The sequence below is a fragment of the Homo sapiens genome, chromosome 11 (assembly GCF_000001405.40).
Source record: "Homo sapiens chromosome 11, GRCh38.p14 Primary Assembly".
NCBI lineage: Eukaryota > Metazoa > Chordata > Mammalia > Primates > Hominidae > Homo > Homo sapiens.
Window position 1 is genome coordinate 134,682,113 of NC_000011.10, and position 27,917 is coordinate 134,710,029.

The 27,917-nt window shown below is 42.8% G+C and overlaps 1 annotated feature.

Moving 5' to 3' along the window:
* Positions 19,170-19,674: an enhancer, noted in NCBI's record as "H3K4me1 hESC enhancer chr11:134571176-134571680 (GRCh37/hg19 assembly coordinates)". NCBI's record gives its function as "activates a minimal SCP1, AML or CMV promoter by ChIP-STARR-seq in naive H9 embryonic stem cells {active_cell/tissue: H9 hESC(naive)}" and the evidence as "EXISTENCE:reporter gene assay evidence [ECO:0000049][PMID:30033119]".

A 27,917-nucleotide genomic window follows, 5' to 3' on the forward strand; every position in this document is an offset into this window, starting at 1 on the left:
GACCCATTCTACCCAATGAAACAGAAAGAGCTATCTTCAGGGAAATGTTTGCTTCTTGACGAAAAGGGACATGTATAGTTGCAACTGCAGCCACCCTGGTCAGGCCTCAATACCCCTATTTTCATCTGCCTGTGGATATGGGCCAATGCAGTGGGGGGTGACCCTGGGAGAACGGCTTTCCTGCAGGGTCCTGGAAGGGACTGATAGCTAAAAGCTGTTGCCAAAATCACTCCCAACAGTTGAAACAACAATTTTTCATGGAGGAAGGATCAGGGTCGTGTATCACTGTGTCTACCATGTAAGACGTGTTTGTCGTCACCTTAAAAATCAAAACGGTAAATTAAAAGAGGTTAAGTGATTGTGCGAGGTCATATAATAATAGAAATAATAATAATAAATAATTACTGTATGCCAGGACCTTTTCTAAGCACATCATTTACTTCCTCCAGCCTTGGCATTTATTTTGTAACTGGGGCCACAGAAGCAAACTTAAGTCAAGAGGGAGAGGCGAAGAGAATCCCAAGAATCCAGCCTTTACAGCATAAATTTACGAAAGCAATGCCAGGAGGCAACCACCCTAGACGCGGAACCGTATGAGGAAAACAGTTCCGTATCTGCGTGGTCCCCAACTGGCCAGGTGCTCTGTTCTTTGCTGCTGAAGGCGTTCCTGACAGAGGTGCGTGCCTCGCTCATCACTGCCATCATCACTGCTGGTTGAAGATGGAGATACACTGTGGCCATCGCTCCCTGTGCCATCAGCCTTGGGACCAGTGAGGATCTTACAGAACAAATCAGAGAATCTTCCTCCTTCTATGTGATGCTAACTTGGAGGGGAGGGTTGTCAGGTGGGGATACGTGTGGACTGAAATGTCATAGACTTTAGGGACATACCCCCTCCTGTCCCCTCACAGTCATCTTTCTGCCTGTGCACACACCCTGTCAGGGTGTCAGGGTCATGCCACGTAACTAAATAACATCCTTCGCTGGAAGCCGTTGTTCCTCTCCAAACCTCAGGCTGTGTTCCTCAGTCTGGCCAAGTTCCTTCCTCTCTTATGGGACAGACATTCTCTCTGTAGCTTGGCTTCCATCACAGTAACCCTAGACATATATAGAGAGTTATGTCTGTGTTTGTCCAAGTTTCTTTTGTGATATGCATCAAGTATTAATTTACTAAGAATCAACTCATGTCCTTGTTCATCAGTGGATAAGCACAATTATCTGGGGGCATTTCTGACCTTTACTGTCCAGACATGTCTGAGGCTCAGCTCTGCCCCACCAGGAAATTCCACACGTGTTGATCTGCTTGTGTGTCTGTCGCCCATTGCAGTCTGTGGGCTCCTGGAGCTCAGGGCTCCCTCAGTTCAGTTATCAGATGCCTGACATATATTTTGGTTGAATGAAGCAAAGAAGGAAGAAACAGGGCCACTTCAGACCTGATGAGAGGCTTCTGCACTCTCCAGGAAAGACAAGAAGCTTGTGTGGTGAGAGCAGCAGCTTCCCGCAGGACGCGGAGAACGTAGAGGCTATCATTTCTGGGCCAAGACACTGATTTGTGGGGGATGAGGGGGCGAGTGGGCACTTATGAACAGTGTCTGAAATCCCCAGAAATGTAGACGTTTTCACAGAAGACAGGGGAGGTCATCAGAACGCTGACAGCTGCTGACAGGATCCTATTCAAAGAAGTATGAGGAGCTGCCAGACAGGTGCTGGGTTAGAGAAGCCAGGCCCACACCGCATGACCAACATGAAGGCCAACAGCCTGCAGCCCCTATTGCTGTGTCCTCCAGTGGGGGCATATATAGAACTCGGCCCAGACGTGCCCCCTGTGTCGGGACACTGGGGAGGCTGGAACCTTGGCTGCATTTGTGGAGAGCTCTGGAAAATGGGAGAGCCTTAGACCCATGGCCCACACAGGACTCTTCCGACCTCTAGGTGCTGAACCGAGAAAACCTGACCTCAGAAGTACTCTGCTTTGCTTTCTGTTTTGAGAAGAGTTTTAGCTCATTCTTTCTCTATCCCCAGTGCCTTCACATAGTCACAGTCCTGAAGATGCAGCTTAGCATGGAGGGTCATGGCTTCACTGTCAGGAAGCTTTGGGTTCAAACCCCGCAGCAGCCATATGAGGCAGTGGTTACAGCATGGCCTCTGAAGTTGTATGTGCTTGGGTTCAAGCCTAGGTCCACCCCTTTTTAGCTGTGATATCTTCAGCAAGTTACTTACGTTTACTCTGCCTCCGTTTATTTATTTGTTAAAACAGGAATTACAATAATACCTATCAAATAAGTTTGTTGTGAGACTTAAACAAAGATCCATGTGATGTGCTTAGAAAAGGTCCTGGCATACAGCACCTACTTATTATTATTATTACTATTATTATATGACCTTGAACAATCACTTAACCTCTCTCAGTTTATCTTTTTGATTTTTAAGGTGATGACAAACACACCTTACATGGTGGATGCAGTGATACATGACCCAGATTCTTCCTCAATGAAAAATTGTTGTTTCAACTGTTGGGAGTGATTTTGGCAACAGCTTTTAGCTATCAGTCCCTTCCAGGACCCTGCAGGAAAGCCGTTCTCCCAGGGTCAGCCCCCGCCTCCTTGGCCCATATCCACTGGCAGATGGACATGGGGGTATCGTGGCCTGACCAATTAGTTCAACTGGGAAAACTCTGGAGGACACGATCTCCCCAGGGGCCCTCTTGGTGCCAGTGGAGGCTCCTGTTGGGCCTGCATCACAGCTCAAATACCCCTCTGTCTGCTCTTCCTTCTCTCCCTTCCTACAACAGGGCTTGATCCCAAAGTCAATCTTCAATAATGTCAGCCTGAAAAAACCAAAAGGATCAAAATCCAATTTTAGTCAAGCATAAAGTTTGAAGACAGCCACTCAGAAACACACACTCCAAAATAATGGGGTCAGTGCCTCCCTAGTGAGGAAATTAAGGTTTTATTAATATAGGCAGAAACAAAGAGGTTTGGCAGGATCACACATTTCCATACATGGCCAGTACACAGTTGCAGGGATGTGATTGCTCACAGTTTGCTACATTCTAAGGAACAGTGCTCCAGCGCTTTCTGAGGAGGGGTGACAATCTGAGGGGGTCTGCTCTCTGGTGCCACAAGGCCTTTTCTTATCATTTACAGGAAGGAACAGAAGCTGTAGCTGCATGCTACATGACTCAGGTCTCACAATTCACATTCCCTTAGAGGCTCAAAATACTTTAAAGTTCCAACAGCTTTAATTTGAATTATTTATCTTCACAATAAGCATTCTGCTTTCCGAACTCCATCTCAGAGTAAGCTTCCAAGGGAATGCAATCTCTGCATCTAACTTTGCAGAATTGTTGCCAGAATTAGGAGAACTAAATATACATTACAATTGTTGGACAATATAGCCCCTCACTCCCCCTTTCTTACAATATCATAGGCTAAGTCTCTAACCCCAATGTACCCTATGCTTCCACCTGAAATATAGCTTCCACAACTAACCCGAATCAAAACATACTTTCTTACACCAGTCTAAGCCCACTATGTTGCATTTCAGGGTAGAGTTTGACATTCGGCCTCAGATGATAAAAGTTCAGCTGGTTTAATGAAATCTTCTTACTACCGTCCCAAACACAAGGTCACAGGTTAAAGGGAAGATCACATACGTCAAGGTAAGGCCTGGTCCATCCATCCGTGAGAGAGTTTCTGCTTCTTTATCCCAGTCTCCTTATCCCCCAGACTGAGTGGACAAGTTTATCCAGGATTCCAGTTGCTGCTCTCCCAGGAACCATGCATAATGACATTAGACAAGTGCTAATTTGCATAGAGACTGCCAAGACCCTTTGCAAAGCAAAGAAATGCACATTGTTAAACTGTTACTATAACACTGACTGCAACCATGAAAACAATTTCACAGCAGATTAAACACACTTAGTGAAAGAAGCCCAGTGCAAAAGCAATCTCAACACCAAATTAGAGTTTAGTCAGCAGCTAGCAGGGAGCTGAGGAGACAATGGCCAGATGCAGCATCCTGATGACCTTACCAGGTGATTTTCCCTAGGTGAGCGGGAGCAAACTCCAGTTTGGCAAGATTTCCTGCCGGAGATGAGCGATCCAATTACAGTGAGGGAAGGAAGGAGGAAAGCTAAGCCGCAGAAGGAGCTGGAAGATGAATAGAGGCATCAAATCTGTATGAACCGCAGGGAAACTTGTGTCAGACAAGCAGAGAAAGGCAGACATCAGGAAAGCAGAGAAGGATTGCTTTTATGATGAGTGATAACAAGTCTGAAAATAAAGGATTCCTATTTAGACATGAAAATCTCTGTTAAGATAGTAAGGAAAGAAAAAATAATCAGAATTTCCAATACAAAATAAATTTTCCAGTTTCATCTTGATCCCTCTCTTTCTCCAGCCAGGTTTGTTTTCGTCCATCTCCTGCCTCCAACATGAGAGCTCTGCCCTTCTAGATGACCAGACCTCTCCTGACTCCCCAGCCCTGAACCCTCAGGCCTGAGACTCGCTGTCCAGTGCTGAAAACGTCTGTCTCCCTAACACTGACAATCGAGCTCTTTTCATGTGTTGCCCGGGGAAATCTCAGGCAATGAATCTTATTCTTAATTTCACACTTGCTTTTCTTTATGGCAAGAAGCCAGGGACATCTGGGCACCTATAAATAATAAACATAAATGACATTGGAAGGAGGCAAGGCCATCAACATCATTTAAAATCTCCCCATTCTGGGCTGACAACTACTCACTGGGCCTGGACTAGACAAGTGAATCTTGAAAAAGAGACAAAGGCAGAGATTATGCTGGGACTTCATCACCATAGGCATCAAACAGATAAGTAGGTGTTTGCTTGAGTGATGGCCCCTCTGGCCAGGTGAGGCTCTCGATATTTCCAGATCACATGCCCTTGTATGTCTCAGGTTTTACTCACATCTGCCAGAATGCCTGGAGTTTTCAGGATTAAATAATCTCCAATTCAAAGGCAAATACTTTTGGGGAAAAATTATAATTCTGTTCAACTTAAACCTAAAAGCTTAGGGAAGACAGGGGTAAGACAAAACCGTGGCATCTAGCTAAAAGCAAGGTTCCTCTTGATTGAGGTATAATGCTGAAGTATTAAAAAGAAGCGACAGGATCATTTATAAAGGCACCTACCAGAAGCTGCAGAGAGGCACAGAGCAGTTTCTTCCCTGGTGTCTTCCCAGGGAGCGTGGTACTGCCAGCACCTGGATTTCAAACTTTTGATCTCCATAGCTATAAGACAATAAACTCCTGCTGTCTTAAGGCACACAGTTTATGGTACTTTTTTACAGTGGTCCTAGCAAACTGATACGGAGGGTTCTAAAAAAGTTTATTGTTATGTTCTGAGAACAAATGTCACTTAATTTTTTATTCTGCCTTGAGATTTACAAAGCCAGTTTCTCTGTCATCATTGTAGCCAGCATAGTAGGTAGTACAAACTTTATATTGGGATCCTTTCAGGGAATAATAATATTGGGATCCTTTCATCCTCATTTTGCACTGAGGATGGTAGAAAAGTTTCAGAAGAGAAGGAGACGGAGGAAGTGGGTTGGGAGGGATTGATGGAGGTGGTTGTTTTGAAGGTGGAGCGAGAGGCAGCACTGAAGGAGGGTGAAGATGAGGACCTTTGATGTTTTCTGTGTGTCAGCCATATGTGTTAGGCCATCACTGATCTCTTTCACCAGCTCAGGGAGGTTAATAGCATGCCCAACTGCAAATTAGTAAGGGGCTGTAAAAGTTAGAAGTGCATTCACCTGATTAAGAATAAACAAACAAAAACCACTTGCCCACAGTAACTTAAAACAAGTAAGGTTTATTTTTCCCCGAAAGTTAAAAAAATCTGGAGGAAGGAAGATATTGGTAGTGATCCAGCCCTTAGGTGCTATTGAGACTGATATCCCTGTTATTCTATTGGATTTTTCTTCATGCATGAGGTCTCATGGTCATGATATGGCCTCTGTAGCTCCAGACATTACGTCTGAAATCAAGGCAGGAAGAAGAGGGAGTGGTAGCATGAGTCTTAGCTGTTTCTTTTGTCAGAAAAGGCAAATCCTTTCCAGAAGTCCCTAAAATAACATACATTTTACTGATCTGAACTGTATTGCATAGCCACACCTAGTGATCAGTTTTTTGGGTAAATAGGTATCGAGCTTTCCAGGTGCCACAGTGGGCAAATGAGAGAAAATAGAATTGGTTATGCAACTTGTGTTAGCCAACAAATAGCATAAGACAGAGCGCCAGAGTGAGAAGGCAAACCTGCATCTCTGGCCATGAATGCAGGACTCTCTTTGTTCATAAAATCTTATGGTGAGACTGCCAGCCTGCTTCCCACAGATATGACTTCTGTTCTATAGAGGCAGCCCCTTTGAATAGGTCTTTCTTGCAGGGCTGCTCCAGTATTTGGATCTAATTTCTTTGCATGGGGATAATATGGTATAATAGGTACTATACTACTTCAGAAGACAATTGGCCCAGGTTTTAATTCCACTATTATCATAAATTTCCACGTATTTTTTCCTGTATACCTTGGAGCAAAATGGAAGCAATTAAACCTAATGTCTTCTATTTCCCTTAGTTTTATGATGCACTTGAAAACAGTTTGGGAGTTTCCATATGAATTTTTGGTTGGATTAGTACTTATAATATCACACGTTATCACTACCAATATTTTCCAAGTGCTTTCTAGTTTAAAATTACTTTCAAAATATATATTATCTTATTCAAGCCTCATAAGCAGCATTATCAAGTGGGCAAAGTATGGCGTCATCTACGAGTACAAGCTCCACAAGTAACCATATTTCTCCTGTCCTCAGATTCTTACCACAATTCCATTAGGGATCTTCCTATATTCTAAGGCCATTTTCCATGTGCATTTTAAACTCACAGCATATCTCATACGTTACCCCCATACAAAGGTTCCAGATCTATTTATAACTTCTCCCTTTCTGTGACTCTCTCTTAACCTCTAGCCACAATTGTCAAGGTTGCAATTGGCTTGATACTGCCTCCTTGGCTCCTTATCTAACTCCAACCAATTGACTCAGTTCGGAGGACTATGTCTTCAAGCTGACAGGTTAAAACACAGTGAGCCAAGGAGACCCAGTGCTCCGACCTGTGAAGCAGACTGAGCAGGGCGATGAGCTTATGAGCATTTCAGCGACCAGTTCTAGCGGTTTCTTATTAGGTTATTATTTCATTTGGCTTTGGTGATAAACATCAGAAGTCAGGGGTCCCAGGCAGAGTTCTCTTTGGTAAAAATGACCATTCTAAATGTGGATACTAGACTGAAACTCAGTAAAAGTCCTGATACACATTCTCCAGGGAAATAGTTTCTGTTTTGTTTGTGGAAAGAGATGACCTTTTCACTGAGAGGGTGAGCTTCCCACAGTGTTGGGCAGGATGGGAAGGCTGAGGGTGCTGAGGGAAGGGGAGACGGCAAACTCCTCATCTTCTCAGGTTCTTTCCAAGTCGCTGTGCCCAGAGAGATGCTCATTTAGAAGGTGGTGGTGCAAAACCGAGGAACTCTGGGCCTCACGGCATGACCCCTGGAAAATTGCTGCAGTAGACTGCTCCATTTTGGTTATTGCCAACATGGCCCTGAAATTGACCAATTCTCTTTTTATCTTGGACCTGTCCAGCTGCCCAAGAACCAGTCTTAGATACAGTAAATCAGGCCTCTGAGAACCAACTTCCAAAAGCCTTCCTCCCAGGAGCTCTGCCCTGAAAAACAAGATCAGCTGGCACTGTGCACTCATTAAGAGGGAACATTCTGATGAGGACCTCAATGTCTCGTGGGGAGAAGTGGAGAGAGAATAGGCCTGAGGAATTGAGAGGATCTGTTCAGCAGAGCTACCTGAAAGCCCTGAAGCCATTTACCCCCTCAGGTATTCAGTGCCAGTAAGCAGGTGAGGAGAGAGGAAAGCAGCTGGACCTACAATGCCCATCTTTCTGCTCACTGTGCATGTACCCAGCACACCCAGATCCCCTCTCTGTGGCCAGGGGTGGCACGGAGGAGAGGTTCCTTGTGGAGGGTGGTTATGCCTGAAATCATCTTTGATGGGAACAGGGAAAGTCATCTCCCTGGAACCTGAACTTCATTTTCCCCCAAATCCCTTCCATAGCTTGTCCTTTGGTTTTCTCTTCTGAGTTTTCCAAGAGCCAGGACGACAGCTGCCTGAGTCCACACGAGGCTGTGTAAGGCCAAGAAGAGCGGTTCCTTCTTCAAGACAAGTTTGTCCAGGCACCCTCAGAAGTGCTAACTCTAGGGCTTGGGGCTGGAGTATAACTGGAGACAACACAGCGTGGCTCAGGCATGTGCAGCTGCCGTCAGTCATGTCACCTTCCCAGGCACTGAGAGATGGGAAAGGGAGAGCGCATAATACTGCTGCGGCATAGGTTATTTTGCATCATGAAATGTTTCAAAAAAGGTCAGTAATAAATTCTTTTGGGCAAATACGTCTTTTATAAAACATTCCAAAAATCAGTTGAAAACTAAAATGGGCAAGAAGACAGTCTCCCTGTTCGTAATAAACTTATATCTGCAAGAAATGAAATTCTAAGGAACTAACATGAAACAGATGCTCCCTGATGCCAGAACAAAGCTTCTGTGTAGACAAATAGGTATTCTAGACTCTGGGAGCAGTAAAAACATATAAAATGTGCCTCAAATAAAAATGTTGATAATGGGTCTCAGAGAAATGTATAATCCTGGTAGGAGCTGCCTTGCTGTAAAACAAGGAGGTGGTGTTTATAGCATGGGGAAGCTGCCCATCACACTCACACTGGGGACATGAGACGTCTCTGTTATAATCTAATTCATGACACTGCCTGGTACAGAAACCTCGTTTGAAAATACTAATTTGCACCAAGGTCTGAGATGTTTCTTTTTATCAGAAATAAATAACTAGATTTAGTGTTCTCCAGCCTATGCCCTAAATTTCTCTGTGTGTTTGTAGGTAATTAACAAATTCATTAAGTTCTTGTGACATATATATATATATATATATATATATATATATATATATATATATTTCACCATATATACATATATACATGTTGCTACCTATGTATATATGTATATACCTACACACATATATAGCTTGAGAGCTTCCCAATGTCAGATGTTGCTGTAATTTATCTGCTTCAAGTCATGCAATGTATGTCAACTTTCTCTCTTCTCTTCCTTGTTAGTCTCCTCTGCCTGCCCCCTTTTCCGTTTCCTCTTCATTCTTTCTCGCTTTCCCCCTCTCCTCCCGTGTCTCCCCTCCTCTCCCTTCCTCTCCATCCTCCTCACTGCCATGCTCCTCCCTCATTTCTACTCCTGGGCCACAGCTCTGTTTCAGCCTAACGAGGAGAGCTGCGGAGTCTGAAATACTTCAAGGGGAAGAAAAGGTTAGAAGCAAAATTCAAGAGGTTGATTCTGTCAAGACATTCATCTGGGATTCTCCGCTCTGGCAGATTCATTATTTTGTGAAATGATAACTGATTGCATCTGAAGGAGCATGAGAGAGTGATTGAGATCACTTCCAGCCCCTGTCAGCAAACAGTATCTCAGGCAGCATCAGAAAACGAGACAGCGTAGCTGTGCAGCCGGGAACCCTCTAGAGCGTCCCGTTTCACCCTGGTCAGAAAGGGCTTAGCGGCCAACACTAGACGATGTTTCTGATTTAACACCAACTGTTCATTTGTTAAGGTCATGATTTATCTTAACTGTTTATTTAGATGAATTTTGATGATTGTATTTATTCATAAAACTACTGCAAAAATGTGGTACAGATTATTTCCATCACTGCAGCACGTTTGTTTGTACTGCCTTATAGAACCGTTCGCCTCCCAACAAGAACCAGTATTCTGAATTCTATCACCATAGAATAAGTTTGGTTGTTCTTCAACTTCATGAGTGGAATCATAGAGAATGCACTCTTTTGTGTCTGGCTTATTTTACTCAGAATGTTTTGACGTTCGATCATGTCGTTCTGTGTATTAGTAGTTTATTCTTTTTTATCGCTGAGTCATAGTGTGTTACGTGACTGTACCACAATTTGATTATTCATTTGTCAGTAGATGAATATTTCGGGTGTTTTCAGTGTTCTGCTGTTATGAATAAGGCTACTGTAATCTTTTCCCACAATTCCTTTTGTAAACACATGTTTTAAATTTTCTTTGGTAAAAAGCCAGGAGGAGAATTGTTTGGTCATAGGTATGCTGGAGTTTATAAGAAACTGTCAAGGAGTTTAACAAAGTGAATGTTTCACTTTATGCTCCTTCATCCATGTATGAAGCTCTAGTTACTTCACATTTTTAACAGTGCTTGGTATTGTCAGAGTTTTTCTAATCAGTTGGAATTGGCATCTCACTGTGGTTTTAATTTGCATTACTGGGATAGACGATGATGCTGAGCATGAGTTTATTTGCTTATTAGTATTCTTGTGATTTTTTTTGTTTATTGTTTGTTTACATTTCCTGGCCATTTTCCATTGGGTTCTATGGGGTTCTTCACCTATTTATCATTGAATTGTATACAAAGATTGAGTCTCTGCAGACTTAAACGTCCCTGTCTGACAGCTTGGAAGACAGCAGTGGTTCTCCCAGTACGCAGCTTGAGATCTGAGAACGGACAGACTGCCTCCTCAAGTGGGTCCCTGACCGCCGAGTAGCCTAACTGGGAGGCACCCCCCAGTAGGGGCGGACTGACACCTCACATGGCTGGGCAACCCTCTGAGACAAAACTTCCAGAGGAACAATCAGGCAGCAACATTTGCTGTTCAGCAATATTCGCTGTTCTGCAGCCTCCGCTGCTGATACCCAGGCAAACAGGGTCTGGAGTGGACCTCCAGCTAACTCCAACAGACCTGCAGCTGAGGGTCCTGACTGTTAGAAGGAAAATTAATAAACAGAAAGGACATCCACACCAAAACCCCATCAGTACGTCACCATCATCAAAGACCAAAGGTGGATAAAACCACAAAGATGGGGAAAAACAGAGCAGAAAAACTCAAAATTCTAAAAATAAGAGCACCTCTCCTCCTCCAAAGGAATGCAGCTCCTCACCAGTAGTGGAACAAAGCTGGACGGAGAATGACTTTGATGAGTTGAGAGAAGAAGGCTTCAGACGATCAAACTTCCCCGAGCTAAAGGAGAAAGTTTGAACCCATGGCAAAGAAGTTAAGAACCTTGAAAAAAGATTAGACAAATGGCTAACTAGAATAACCAATGCAGAGAAGTCCTTAAAGGACCTGATGGAGCTGAAAACCATGGCATGAGAACTACGTGATGAATGCACAAGCTTTAGTAGCTGATTCAATCAACTGGAAGAAAGGGTATCAGTGATGGAAGATCAAATGAATGAAATGAAGCGAGAAGAGAAGTTTAGAGAAAAAAGAGTAAAAAGAAACAAACACAACCTCCAAGAAATATGGGACTATGTGAAAAGACCAAATCTACGTCTGATTGGTGTACCTGAAAGTGACAGGGAGAATGGAACCAAGTTGGAAAACACTCTGCAGGATATTATCCAGGAGAACTTCCCCAACCTAGCAAGGCAGGCCAACATTCAAATTCAGGAAATACTTGTAAATGTACTTAAATTAGTTGTAAATGTATATTGCAAGTGATAGGGTGATCATTAAAGATATTTAAAAAGAAGTATAATGGTATGCTAAAAGATGAGAGAAAATGGAATCATAGAATGCTCAATTAAAATGACAGGAGGCAGAAAAGATGGAAAGATAAAAAAGAAACACAAAAGAGAAACAAAAGAAAACAGTTATAATGTGGTAGATATTAATCTGACTATAACAATTATCACTTTAAATGTGAATAATCCAAAATGACAATTAAAAGACAGAGGCTGACAAGGTAGATGAAAAAATAAGACTCAGCTACATGTAGTCTGTAAGAAACCCAACTTCAATATTAAAGTACAGACAGATTAAAAGTAAAAGGATGGCGAAAGATATTCCATGACAGTAGAAATTTTAGAAAACTTAAGTAATTATATTAATTTTGGACAAAACTGATAATAGAATAAGAGACCTTATCAGGGATAAAGAAGGGCAATAAAGGGTAAGGAGACCGGCTCTCCAAGAAAACTTGATTGTCCTTAACGTGTGTGTGTGTGTGACTAACAGCAGAGCATTAAAAGAGGTGAGACAGAAACAGATAGAGCTGCAAAGAAATATAGGCATAGTCACTATTATGATTAGAAACTTCAACATCCTTCTATCAATAATTGACAAATCCTGGCCGGGTGCAGTGGCTCAAGCCTGTAATCCCAGCACTTTGGGAGGCCAAGACGGGTGGATCACCTGAGGTCGGGAGTTCGAGACCAGTCTGGCCAATATGGTGAAACCCCATCTCTACTAAAAATACAAAAAATTAGCTGGGTGTGGTTGTGGGCACCCGTAGTCTCAGGTACTTGGGAGGCTGAGGCAGGAGAATCGCTTGAACCCAGGAGGTGGAGGTGGCAGTGAGCCAAGATTGTGCCACTGCACTCCAGCCTGGGCAGGACAGAGCAAGACTCCACCTCAAAAAAATAAAATAAAAATAAAAATAAAATAAATAATAATAATAATTGACAGATCCAACAGGCAGAAAATCAGTAAGGATGTAACTGAATTGAATATCTGTGTCAACAAACGAGATCTAGTCGATCATTATAGGGTACTTTCTTCAATGAGAGCAGAGTAACATTCTTCATGGAAAACACACCTTAACAAATTTTAAAAACAGATATCACACAGCATATGTTGTGAGAACACCATAAAATTAATGCAGAAACGAATAACAGAAAGGTAACTGGAAAATGCCAAACTAATTGAACATTAAGCACCACAGTTCAAAATGGCACACAAATCAACGTTAAAAAACTTTGAACTGAACGAAAATAAAAATAAAACATCAAAATTTGTGGGATGCAGTAAAAGCAGTGCTTAGAGGGAAATTTATAACATTAAATGCATATAATAGAAAGGAAGAAAGGCCTAAAATTAATAATCTAAGCATCCTTTTTAGGAATCTAGAGAAAAAAAGAGCAATATAAGCCTAAAGGATGTTAAGAAAATAAATGATAAAAATTAGAGAAGAAATAAAACAGAAAACAAGAATGCACTAGAGAAAATAAATAAAACCAAACAGTGGTTTGCTGAAAATATCAATTGAAATAATAAATAGCTAGTCAGAGTAACTAAGAAAAAAAAGAAGACACAAATTGTGAATATCAGAAATGAAAGAGGCTATCACTACTGGTCCCATGAACATTAAAGAAATAATAAAGGAATATTATGAAAAGCTGTATGCCCACAAATTTGATAACCTAGATGAAATGGACCAATTCCTTGAAACACACAATCTATCAGAACTCCCAAAGGAAAACTGATCATCGGAATAGGCCTATATCTATTAAAGAAATTGAGTCAATAATTAATATCTTTCCCAAACAGAAAGCATCAGACCCAGATGATTTTCCTAGTGAATTCCGCAATGATTTAAGGAAGAAATTGTTCTAGTTCTCTACAATCTTGTCCAGAAATATAAGCAGAGGGAATACTTTCTAAGTCATTCTATGAGCCCAACATTTTCCAAATATCAAAACCAGACAAACACATTATTAGGAATGACAACTATAGACACATCCATGCAAAATCCTTAACAAAATATTGGCAAATTGAATCCAACAATGTATTAAAAATTATACACTAGGATCAAATGGGATTCATTTTAGGCATGCAAGTCTGGTTCAACATTTAAAGATCAATCAATGTAATCCCTGTATCAACAGGCAAAAGAAGAAACGCCATACCATCATATCAGTAGAGGCAGAAAAAGTATTTGACAAAATCCAACACACTTATTCATGATGCAAACTCTCAGCAAACTAGGAATGGAGGAAAATGGAATATTTTATAAAAATATCTCTGAATATATAGAATATTTTATAAAAATCTAAGCTAATACTGTACTTACTGGTGAGAATCCAAGTGCTTTACACCTATGATCAGGAATAAGAGAAGGATGTCGCCTCTCATGAGTTAATTCAACATTGTGCAGTGAGTCTTACCTAATGCAATAAAACAAAAAAGGAAGTAAAAGGTATACAGATTGGGAAGGAAGAAACGAAACTGCATTTGCTCACAGATGACATGATTGGCTATGTAGAAAATTCCAAAGAATCAACAACTGTGCAGAGAGATGTTTCAGGAGGAAACATGGGGAAAGAATTAAGACTCTAGCTTGCGAGTCACGTCATTCGCGGCACCTATTTTTCTTTTGCTCACTCTGAGCTGTTAGTAAAGTACTGTTTAAATATTCCAGCCAGGTTTCAGGGATCTAAGCTAGATTAATAAGATTAAATGGTGTGCAGCATCCCCTAAAACAAGAGTAGGATGAGGAGCAACAGTTAGTGAGAAATCCTTGGGATATGTGGCTCACAGGAGAGAAGAGGAGGCTCCTCCAGCCACGTCCATGAGGAGATTCTCCCTCCACAGCTGACCCAAGAAGGAGAGCGGGAGACAGAGGTTGGACACGAGGCAGGCTTGCTGCCCTGGGTGGCATGAAGGACTGCAGTGCTGGGGTGCATGCTAACAGCTGTTTTAAGAGCATCTTGGCAGCCTCTTCCCCCATCCATGTATTCTAAAGTACCTCAGGCCAACCTGCTTTGAGCAGCAGTTCCAAGGAAAAGCAAGAATCTCTGTCGCCAGCTATCTGTCCTAACCAAGAGACTTTCTGAACTCAGGAGCCAAGCTTCTCAGATCTCCTTTGGAGTTGATGTTGATATTAAGAATTTCAACTCACCACCTACGGACTAGAATCTCAATAGCAACTTAGATAGGCAAGCAGTAGACATCACATACATTTTTCCTGGAGAGTTGCTGTGTGCATTATCCCCTCTCAGTTTTGCAAAATATAGCAATGAAACATTTAGGAAGGCATGACAAGGAAAAATTAAAGGCACACAGTGAGTTGTAATAAGCAAGTCACATATTTTGCATCCCACTAAGTATTCAGTAGCAAAGCAATTTTAATAGACCCAGAAATGCAATCTGATATTTGAATGGAGAGAGAAAAATTAGCAAGGTGAGCTGGAGGAGGAGCCAAGGGCTGAATTAATTAGTCTAGGGCTTTTAAACCGTGTTCTGCAACCCTGCAGCTTTACAGAATACATTTCTCTTGTGAAACTGTTTTAATATAAACACCATAAAAATGGAAATAAGTATATTATAAATTCACAACCACTAGCCTGAACTTTAATACCCTAGTACATATTTTGCTACTTCAGACTTCCTCTGTGATCATTTGCTATATAAATTTTGTTACAGTACCTGTTGTCATGCAGACAGTATTAAAGTTTAGATTCTTCCTTAAGTCTTAAAATCAGTTTTGTTGAAGGATAATTAATGTAAAATATAATGCACCCATTTATTATTATTATTATTTTTGAAACAGAGTCTTGCTCTGTCACCCAGGCTGGAGTGCAGTGGCACAATCTTGGCTCACTGCAACCTCTACCTCCTAGGTTCAAGTGATTCTCCTGCCTCAGCCTCCTGAGTAGCTGGGATTACAGTGAGTGCCACCACACCCAGCTAATTTTTGTATTTTTAGTAGAGATGGGGTTTCACCATGTTGGTTAGGCTGGTCTCAAACTCCTGACCTCGTGATCTGTCAGCCTTGGCATCCCAAAGTGCTGAGATTACAGGCATGAACCACTGCATCGGGCCAATGCACCCACTTAAATCATATGGTTTGATGGGCTTTGCCAATGTGTACATCTGTGTAACCACCCTCAAGGTCCATAGAAAAAATATTTTCATTATCCCAGAGTTCCCTGTTCTGCCTCAGTGCCAGGTGCCACCATCCCAACCCCATGAAGACTAGCCTCCTTCCTGCCACCCTGGGTTAGAGAAATGGAACCGTGACCATTTGTGAACCATTACTTTCATGCAACATGATGATTCTGGGATTTGTCCATGTTGGTGCAGTTATCAGTGGCTCATCCCTTTTCATTGCTGAATAATATTACCCCATATGGATGTACTAAAATGCATTCATCCTTTCATGCAGTGTTACATTAAAGATGTTCTGAACATTGGGGCTCAAGTGTGTGTGTGGAAATATTTTATTCTCATAGGTGAAGACCTGAGAATAGAATTATGCAATACTATTATATGTGCATGTTTAAACACTGTGGGACAGTTCTCCAAAGTAGTGCTCCATTTTGCAGCACCATCAGCAGTGGCTGGGTTCCAGCTGCCTCACCTCCTCACAGATGTTTGTCAGGTCAGGCTTTGGATTACAGCCACGCTAGTGGTTGTGTGGTGGTATTTCATCATGGCACTAATTTGAGTTTCTTTGGTTACAAATAATGCTGAACATCATTTTATGTTACTACTATTTGTAAGCCTTTTCTTGTGAAGGGCTGTTCAAATAGTTCACCCATAAAAGTTCATTCCATATTCTAGATATAACTCCTATTTCAGATATACATATTGCACACATTTTCTCACAGTCTGTGAATTGTCTTTTCTTTCTCTTAAGTGTCTTGCTAATACTAATAGTTTTTAAGTTTTGAGGAGGCTTAATTTATTAATTCTTTTATGGTTTCTGCCTCTTATGCCCTAGCTAAGAAATTGTTATTATCCTAAGGTGCAATGCTTTTCTATTTTCTTTGAAAAGTGTTATAGTTTTAGATTTTACATTTCTAATAATGTATTTTGGATTAACATTCAGGACTGAGCAGCAGCAGTAAGCAGCAAATAACAAGTAGGATACAAGCAAAGACCACCATGTGCACGCCTCTGTGGCTTCAGTGCCCCTCCCTCAGTGCAGGCTTACAGCTTGGTGGTGGAATCTTGTATAAGTAGGTGAAGGAGCAAAATGACATACCTTTGCTTCACGGGCAGGTTGGTTTGATATACGGTGTGTGCACAAAATGGATGGCAGCTGCACGATGCCTTGGAAGGCAGTGGCAAGGGACAGCTTCACCATGAGGGAGCTTCAGGTGATGGCCCCGTGACTCATGCTGTGTGGAAAGAGAAGAGGCCTGGCTTTAGTGTCTATATAGGTACACGTACATACATGTGTGATCAGGAGCCATGGAAAGTGGCCTATCCTGTTGACCTTGGGCCTGGAAAGAAAAAATATTAGAAGATCAGGGACAAGAATATATAGGGTAAAAGGGATAGAGGCACGTACATGGACATACTGGAGTGGACAAGAAGTGGGCTCGCTCTGCACTGTGTATGAAGGCCCATAGAGAGTAGCTACCATGGAAGAGACACTAAGTCAGCAACTAGACAAAATGGTGGCCAGTTGATGTCAGCCAGCCTCTGTCATCAACCACCCAGTGGCAATGGGCACATCAGTGAAAGGACCTCACAGGCAGAGATGAGGGTACTGCAAAGGCCCCACTGAATGGCCTCTGCCTACCAGCGCTGGATCCACCGCCAGTGTCCAACGTCCTCAGCCTGTGACAGAGATGGATGGCGAACCCCAGTGTGGCACCATTCCTGGAGAAAATCAATCACTAACGGCTGCAAAGTGATTATACTAGGCCCCCGCTACCCTCAAAGGGCATTTCCATCAACCTAGAGAAACCTCCCTAAAGCTCTTCCTGATCCCCCACCTGGGAATTTATTGGGTGGCTGCATGAATGATACAAGAAACGTCAACAGCAAGAGACCAAAGTCCATCAATACTCAGTCCAATGGGGACTCCCAGAGGAGAAGGGGCTTCCCCAGCCAGAGGTTGATGGTGGCGAAAAAAATCGGAGGATAGAAGGACTGGAGAAACCAAAGCATTTATGTGCTAACTAGGGAGAGGTACATTTCCTGTGAGTTATTACCCTGTTGGCTGAATTTGAATCCTAAGGGACCCCTACAGGTATCACTAAAAATGAACTTGTTTTGTAAATTTATCACAGCCTTCCCTAAGGGGCACTTCTCACCCCAGCACACCTAGGATAGCTGGGGTGTCAGTTAAGAAGGGAGGTACATTGGAAAAGCAAGCAGGAAGACCTCGCTGGGGCAAAGGGGACTTCTGTCAAGTCGTATGACTCAGATATCACAAATTGGTGGCCCCATGTCATTACAAAGGGCCAGTGGTTTGTTCTTACAGGAATAGACACTATTTCACACATGGGATCAGGTTTCCTCTCAGCAGGGGAGCTCCACTGTCTGTGGACTCATGAGGTATTCGGTCTACAGGCCTGAGGTCTCCTTAAGGCGTGTCAGTTCCATGGGTCCACTTTAGAGCCCAGGGGCCACTGGTTGTATCTCACACTTGATAGACGGTCAAAATCACCTTCTACAAGTATACCAGAGATGCCAGCTTAGAGCCCATGCCCTGTGATGACTGGATGACACCCTCCAGGTTGCAGCATGTGTGTGGAATCAGACCTTCCTATGGCACCCTGTTCCTGGAGGAGAAGACACTGATATGGGAACAGATGGCTGGAAACAAAGTGGCTCCACTTACCCTGATTCTATCACTCACGGAGGACGTGCTTCCCTTTCCTGCTGGGCTCTGCAGGTTTAGAGGTCCTGGTCTTCAAGACAGCGTGTTTTCTCCTGGGGACACAGCAAGATTTTCAGTAAATTATGAGCTACTGCTGCTCCCTGGGAGGGTGGGTCATTGTGTCCAGGGACCAGCAGACAAGATGTGGAGTCCCTGTGTTGGCAGGGGTGACAGACCCTGATCGTCAGGAGGTGGCCGGTCTGATGCTGCACAACATGGGCAGGGAGAGGTACTCTTGGATACCAGGTGACCAACGTGGGGGCCCCTTGGTGATCTCTGGACAATTATGACTGTGAATGGATAGGGAAGACAGCCTGGACCTGGGAAGAGGAAGGCTGGACAGGAGCTCAGGTCCCTTGGAAGGGAGGCTCCAGACCATGCCCTGGCCACTGAGGGCAGTCGCGGTGGCCACTGAGAGTGACAGGAACCTAGTTTGGATGGTGGAGGGAGGGCAAGAGGAACATCACCTGCAGCCCCAAGGCCCACAGCAGTGGAGGGGCTGCAGCTCTCCCATAGCCCTTCTCATGTAAGTTTTCCCTCTGGAAGAGAGGCCCGTGAGAATCCTGGAGGAGCTGCTCCCCAAGCACGTGTGAGCCTGAGCAGTGCAGACGTGTGTTATGGCCTGAGTGTCTGTGTCCCCTAAAACTCATATCCGGAAATCCTAACCTCCAAGGTGCTGGTGTTAGGAGGTGGGCCTTTGGGAGTAATTCATGAGGGCGGAGCACCCATGAACAGCATTAGGGCCTTTATAAATAGACACATGAGAGCTTGCCTTTTTCTCTCTGCTGTCTGCCATGTGAGGATACGATGAAGGGACAGCAGGCTACAACCAGGGAGTGACCTTCACAGACACTGAATCTGCCGGCTCCTTCGCGTCCAGCCTTCAGAGCACTGATCAATCAATGCTTGCTGTTGAGCCACCCAGTTTAGGGTCATTTGTTGCGGCAGCCCAGGTGGACTAAGGCAGGTGTGGACTATGCTAGAAACAAAGATGGGTTGTGTAGTTGCGGCGTGTGGTCTGCAGCCGCCTCCGGTGGTCAGCTGCTGCAGAGTCTCCTCATCTCACTCAGGGTCATGCTATGCCCGGGCGGTCCACACCCAGTGCCGGGGCCCCGAGGCAGCAGAATGGGAGAACCCTGGGGGGAATGACTCACTCCAGAGCCTTCCCCTGGGTCCTGGCGGCCCCGAGAGGGAGGACAAAGCTGGAGCACCTGCAGCAGCCAGAGAAAGCGTGCCCGGCAATGCTTCAAGTGCCAGAATCAGTCAGCACAGGTGGACACTTCAGCCGGAGGGGCTGCGGTTCCCAAACATCCCGAGTTATGTGACGCTAAGAGGAACAGGCACTCAGTGTCCCTGGGTGAAGAGAGGCTGGCCTTCCCACGTGCACGTGGCAGGTTCTCCTCTGCGGGAGCTGTCCATGAACCAGGGAAGGAAGCCCAGGAGGGACACAGGCAGGGACACACGTTCTCCTCAGGCCCCAGCTTCTCTCTGCAGAAAGCAATTTCCTCCCATTTGCTAGAGTGTCTTAATTTGCAGATGCCTACGTTTTGTAAAAATAAAACTATTTCTCAGTGTGTTGATATTTTTTCCTAATCATCTACAGAATTTCAACAGGAGTATGGGATTGTTTCCAACAGGACTGGCAGAATTTAGAAAACACTTTCAATACATCTTATTCTTTTATTAGCTTCAAATGAAACAATTGGTCAAGTTCTTGTTTTCTTTTTTTTCCTTTCAGACACTTAAAACATGCAACAAATGGATAATAATAATGACAGCATCAATGAGGATATTGATGTAAAATTATAACAATTATATTTATTGATTATATTATTATAATATATAATAGTTAGTATGGCGATACAATAAGGATACTATGATATAAACAAACATTGGCTAAACCAGTTCTGAAAATAGTTGCCCAAGTCCACAGGCTCCTCACTGATCCAGTGAATGAAAAATGCAGGCAATTTGCCAGGACATTGACTGAAAATATCCAGATAAACTGAGGCAAAAGAGAGTTTTAAGCACTAATTACTCAGGTGATTGTCCTCAATTTCTACTTTCCTTTGTTGGTGTGGAGTAAAATGCATGATATTCTTGGGTGAGGCATTACATTCTTTTAAGTCTTTCATTTTTCAGCTACTAAACAATACCTCTCCTGCAAAATGCTAACACTAAATACTAAATGGTACTAAACAATACTTGCCATGCCAAGCACCAGCCCTGCCTTCGGAACTGACAGAGCTGGGTAGAGGATGAAAGGCAGTCTCTGGACTCTTATGAGAAGCCCTCCCTTCACCAAGGCTCCCATGCCTGACATGCCCCTGTGGCACCTGCCCTACTCTCAGGGTCAACGGAGCTATCGCCCAGGCTCAGGCTGCTGAGGAAGGATGCGGACTGCCCAGGGAGGCAGGTGGAGGCTGAGGGGGGCACAGAGTCTTTGGTCTTCGGGGCTGTGAGAGGTTCTGCAGCCCTGCCTGGGTGAAGGGCTCTGGGTGGTGTCCTGGAGGAAAAGTGTCTTTCCCTTCCACCCATCTCAGTTTCATTGGCTGGGGCCTCTGTAACAAAAGACAGATTCACCAAAGAAAAGCATGCCAATTTATTGAATGTAAGTTTTATACATGACACAGGAAACTTCATAAAGAAAGACTGAAAAAAGTGGTTCAATCTGAGTGCTTTTGTGGCAGTTTTATGCTGAGTAAAATGTCGTGGAACAATTTGACCGGAAGAGGAGCAGGAGCAGAGTGTGCTCACCCAGGACACCCAGCAAGGACACTGTGCTCAGATTCCTCCTGGCAGCCCTGTGCCTGTGAGATAAGGGCGCTCTTTTCTTCTGGCACAGGAAGGGCATCTCTCACAGAAGCATCCTATGACTTGCTTCAGTGAAAGGTCAGGGAGTCTTTCTTGCACCTGCCATTTCTCAAATTCCTTCTGCTTAAAATCTGTGCTATGCCAAGGTGCCATATTCTGGAGTAGTTTGTTCAGAAACCCATCACATGTTTCATGGCTGAAATCAGAGGAGAACATGAGGGTGGGGATGGGAGGAGAAAGAGAAACAACCTAAGCTTTACTGGTTCTTTTCCAATGGCTGTGAGGTCTCATGGCCCTGGGAGTTTTCATGCACTGTGATGGGGTTTCTGGAGACCCGGGGGGCCTGGGTTAGGCGCAGACCTGTATTTCATTAGGGACTTTGGGCATGATTTTCTTGACTACCTTATAAACTTGATGGAGAAAGACAGGAAGGATGATGGTATAAAAGGTGGATTGAAATGCACGTGAGCATGTGAGCTGCTGTTGCCCTGCTCCCTGATAGACGTGGGTCAACATTTTCATGAGACTTTGAGTGACGGCTTAGAAGGCACTTTGTCCAGCACAGTCTTGGCTCTTTGTCCCAGCCCTGACTCAAGTTCCAAGCACCTGAAACCCTACTTGACCACATTTGAATCTGAATTTGTGGCTCTTTTGCCTCTGGGACCACAGCCTTGGGCTTAGAATCCTGATGCCACCCCGTAACCTGGGTCCCCAGAGACTTGCAGTTCCTCCTCACCTCTCTAGGGGTTTCTTGGTGCCTGGTTCTCTGGCACCATTTTGGGATAAGCCACCATCCAGCCTTGGTATCCACCACTGTCTTTGGAGGGCTTCCCTGTTTTATTCTCAGGCCTTTTTAACTCTCCCCCAAATTTGCCCCCTTGGTTGGTGCCCCACCTGCACACTAAGGAAGGACACGAGTGAAACTTTTCAAACTTGCCAGTGACAATCCAGGAAGCAGAGGAGAAGAGGACCTGATGGCATTTAGAATACTCACGAATACACACACACAGATACAGGTGTATGAAATGAACGGCATTTAGAACACTCACGCATACACACACAGACACAGGTGTATGAAACGAATGGCATTTAGAACACTCACGCATACACACACACAGACACAGGTGTATGAAACGAATGGCATTTAGAACACTCACGCATACACACACACAGACACAGGTGTATGAAACGAACGGCATTTAGAACACTCACACACACACACACAGACACAGGTGTATGAAATGAACGGCATTTAGAACACTCACGCACACACACACAGACACAGGTGTATGAAATGAATGGCATTTAGAACACTCACGCACACACACAGACACAGGTGTATGAAATGAATGGCATTTAGAACACTCACGCACACACACAGACACAGGTGTATGAAATGAATGGCATTTAGAACACTCACGCATACACACACACAGACACAGGTGCATGAAATGAACTTAGAATAGAAAACTTTTCCCTCGGGTAGAAGCGGCACCTGTGCAATGTGGAAAACTTCATATACAAATGAACTTCAGAAAAGACTTGGGAATTAAACTGAACGCAGGTTAATATCAGAGGGTCATCAGCTAGCACTTAAATACCTCTTATTATGTGCCAGGCACTGCTGTAAGCACTTTATGTGTATTGATGACATAATCCTCACACTAAGCATTTGAGGTAGCTAATATTATTATGAACCTTTTACAGCTGTGGAAACTGAGGGATAATTAAAGTAAAATCACTTAAGATCCTTATTGACCTGGTAAGTCACAGCAAGAATTTGAGCCAGGCAATCTGTCACTGTAGCTTATGCTTCACACCGCCATGCTTAACTGTGTAGGGTTCCCAACTCTAGCAAATAAAAATATAGCATTCTCAGTTAAACTTAATTTCAGATAAGCAATAAATACTATTTTAGTACATATATGTACCATGAAATATTTGAGATGCAATCATATTTTAAAAGTCCTCTTCTATCTGAAATTGTTACTTAACTGGGCATCCGTGTTTTACCTGGGTAGTGGAGGGACGAGAGTCTTGGTTATGTTATGAGTGAAACTCAGAAATGCATAAATTTGGGCGGGCTAATCATTTCTAAGCTCTGAGTAACAATATTAATGACTGAAGTGGCCAAGTAACATTGAATGCAGAGCTTGATAAAGATGATGTTACACCCTGCCTTTCAGGCTCAAGGCCTAAGTGGGGTCCAGTAATGAACTACTCCTTCTAGTCTAAATCTAGGTCTTCTAACTGTTCTGAAAGACAGATGGGGAAAACCGCACAGTCAACCCGACCTCCCACTCAGCTCCAAGCAGAGTGAAGAAAAAAAATTCTACAGGGGGTGACTTACTCTCTTCCCTTGCAGTTGCAAAGCAGGGGTCAGAGGAGCATAATCATATGACTGAATAAATGAATGAGCAAATTGGTACCAAGTTCTGGTAAGACATTTTCAGATTGAATAAAAATGTGGTGAATGGGACCCTGCCCCTGAGAGTCCCATCCCAGTGTCAGCAGCAAACATCCCTCTGTGAAGAGGAGCCCTTTCTCTCCTTTAAGAGTTGAGAGCAGCCTGCTTGGCAGGCTCTGAGTACATCAAGGGGGCTGCCTCCCAGCGGGGCTGATCCAAGGAAAAAAACCTCACAATGGGAAAGAAGACACACAGTTATTACCAGTATCCTACGGAAGGATGTGGAAGGAAAAAGCCCCTCACGCTTTCCTACAACACCTGACCAGGGAGAATAGGCATCCCTGAATTATAAAACAAGGTTTTATATTTCTCAAGTTTCCCTAGAAATAAAATGCAGCAGTTAAGGATGTATCATTTGTTTTGCCAGATCCTTGAAATGATTTGAGTGATCACAGTGACCAAGGGATATACCAGGAAAAACTGAAGCCAAGCTCTCAAATAATAGTGAGATTCCTACTGGTAGTAAGTTCAGGGTAACAAATCCAGACACTGATGTACTAACAACTCCTTGAAGAACTTTATCTATTTATTTATTTGTTTTTGAGATGGAGTCTCCCTCTGTTGCCCAGGCTGGAGTGCAGTGGCACAATCTGGGCTCAGTACAACCACCGCCTCCTGGGTTCAAGCAATTCTCCTGCCGCAGCCTCCCATGTAGCTGGGACTGCAGGCACCTGTCACCACGCCCAGCTGATTTTTGTGTTTTTAGTAGACAAGGTTTCACCATGTTGGCCAGGCTGGTCTCAAACTCCTGACCTCAAGTGATCCACCCCCCTCAGCCTCCCAAGTCCTGGGATTACAGGCATGGGCCACTATGCCCAGCCAGAGAACTTTAATGAGAGAAAAAATACTAAGTCAATGCAGTTATCCTTAATTATTCACTCAGATATTATGTATCTTTCATTAGAAACAAAGCAGAAATTTGTATTGGGCATCATTAAAAATGTATAAGTAAACTTCCTCATTGACCAGTTTTCTTTCAGAATTCTCTGCAAGAATTATGCCATCTTGCAGAAAGGCATAATGGAAACATGGCAAACTGGTTGAAAATTTTTTTTTTTCACAGTTCTCTAGCAGTGTTCTCTCTAGAAATAGCAGGTGCTCTGTTGGATCACAGAAGTCTGGAAAAGTCAGCAGCATCAATCATTATTTTTGCTAATAATAAATTATAATTTTTATCAATTATTACATACACATTCTGGGCTGCAGTAGGTGTAGGGGTAAAAAGGGAATGCTTTCCTCTTCACCCTCTGAGGGTTTGCTGAAAATGAACTGACAAAAGCCTGATTAATAAGAGAAAAAGACATATAAAATTATTTTAACGTGCAGAGCATGGAGAAATCACAAGGGAATAATTACCCAATAATCATGCATTCCAGATGCTTATGTACCCTTCTTCATAGGAGAAGGGGAGGTGGGGGTGTAGGAGTAAACGTTTTTTAGGGAGAATGAATGGACTCCATTTTCAGACAATGGTGAGTAAATAATTGTCCTTGGGAGCTGAATGAAAGCAGAGAACAAACAATGGTTTGGGACAACCGAACCATTCCAATTTCATCTGGGCTGTAGGTGTGATGTTCAATTTTTAGACTCTACCTCTGTGATATGAATTTTAATCTTCTCTGGTTAATGAAATTTCAGAGAAGGGATAGAAGGGATTGTGTTCCTCTTTGGGGGTCCAGTTTCTGGGTGTATAAGGACATTTTGGGGAACAGGTTTATCTTGTACTTTGGAAGAGACAGAAGACTGAGAGACAAAAGTAGGGAGAAGGTGAGAGGGATCTTGAGCCTGCTTCTCTAGTTTAGCAGGTCAAAGCACCGTATCTTGGGGTATTGGTTTCTGAGCCCCAACATAGGCATCTTGAAAAGGTCTAGATCATACAAAGTTTGCAGAAAATAATAGCTGAAAGCAAATATGGCAAGAAGGGTGCACCAATACTCAATTTACATGAGCACATGCCACACAAAATGTGGCATGGGCCAGGAGATATAGAAGGATGGGTGCCAGATAAGAGCCCTTCCTTTGGGTACAGGAGCTGGCCTTTCTCTCTGTTCTCTCCAGCCTGCCTTTCTACCAACTTCCTTAGAACCATTGCTGTGGTTTTACCTCAGCCTTTCTCAAAAACTTCAAAATAAATAAATGAAAAATGAACAGATCTAAAAGAAAACTAAATAAATCCATGACCATGGCTGGAGATTTTAGCAACCCCCTTTTAATAATTGACAGAACAATCAGACAAAATTAAAAATAGTCCACCTGGACAACATTATCAACCAATGTGACATAACTGATCTTTTCAAAACACTCCACTCCACAATTAAGGAGTAAATGTGATTTTAAAGGGCACATTGGAAAATCATATACATTGCCCCTATATTGGGCCATGAAATAAGTATTAATACATTTCAAATTAAAATATTATAAAATATGCTTTGACTATAACTAAATTAACTATTGATAATATTATATCCAACAATTTCTAACTTCCATGTGAAACAAAGATCAAATTTTTATTATTATTATTTTTATTTCAGTATCTTTAAGGGTACAAGTGGTTTTTGGTTACATGGATGAATTGTATGATGATAAAGCCTGGGATTTTAGTGTTTCTGTCACCCGAGTAGTGGACCTTATACCCAATAAATAGTTTTTCATCCCTCATCCCCCTCTCAACCTTCCCCTTCTGAGTCTCCAATGTCCATTATACCCCAGCCTGTATGCCTTTGTGTACCCATAGCTTAGCTCGCACTTATAAAGGAGACCATTTGGTATTTGTTTTTCTATTCCTGAGTTACTTCACATAGCACAATGGCCTCCAGTTCCACCCAAGTTGACATTATTTCATTCTTTTTTTATGCCTGAGTGATATTCACATATATATATTCATATATATCTGTGATGTGTGTATGTGCCTCTCTCTCTCTATATATATATAGGAACTATCTCTTGAACATTAGTTATTAAATTTTATATATATATATATATTATATATATATAGACACATACACACACACACATCTCATTTTTTTTACCCACTCTTTGGTTGATGGGCATTTAGGTTGGTTCCATATCTTTGCAATTCTGAATTGTGCTGTGATAAACATTCATGTGCATATGTCTTTTTTGATATAATGACTTTGGTTTGGGTAGATACCCAGAAGTGGGATTGCTGGATTGAATGGTAGATCTACTTTTTGTTCCTTGAGAAATTTCCATGCTGTTTTCCATAGAGGTTGTACTAATTTACAATCCCACCAGCAATGTATAAGCATTCCTCTTTCACCACATCCATGCCAACATTTATTATTTTTTGAATTTCTAATAATGGTCATTCTGGCTGGGGTAAGACAGTATCTCATTGTGGTTTTAATTTAAATTTCCCTGATGATTAGTGATGTTGAATATTTTTTCATATGTTTGTTGGATGCAAGCATCATGGAGTGTATGTCCACAAACCCAGATGGCACAGTCTACTACACACTGAGGCTATATTCCATCCCAGCCATGCAGCCTAGAATAACATCTGGCACATAAAAAGCACTCAATAAATATTTTTTAAAATAAAGGAATGATGAAAAGATGATCAAAAGGGCTTATGGGTACAGTTGGAGTCGAGTTGTGCTTTGAAGTATTGGTAGAATTTGAACAGGTAGAGGGGAGAGGGAAAAGAACAGCATCAACGAAGACACATAGTAAAGTGCTGCATGACCGACCACATATATGACGGTGGTCCCATGAAATTTTAATGGCACTGAAAAGTTCATGTTATAGCTGTCATAACACTGCACTAACATGTCATAACAATGCACTACTCACATGTTTGTGCCCAGGCTGTTGTAGACAAACTCACTGCACTGCTAGTCCCATAAAAGTATCACAATACAATTATGTACAGTACATACTTGATGATAATAATAAACAACTATATTACTGGTTTGTGTACTTACTATACTCTATTTTTATCATTATTTTAGAGTGTACTTACATTTTTTTAAAAAAAGGTAAACTATAAAACAGCCTCAGGCAAGTCCTTCAGGAGGAATTACAGAAGAAGGCATTGCTATCCTAGGAGATGACAGCCCCATGCGTGTTATTGCCCCAAAGACCTTCGTG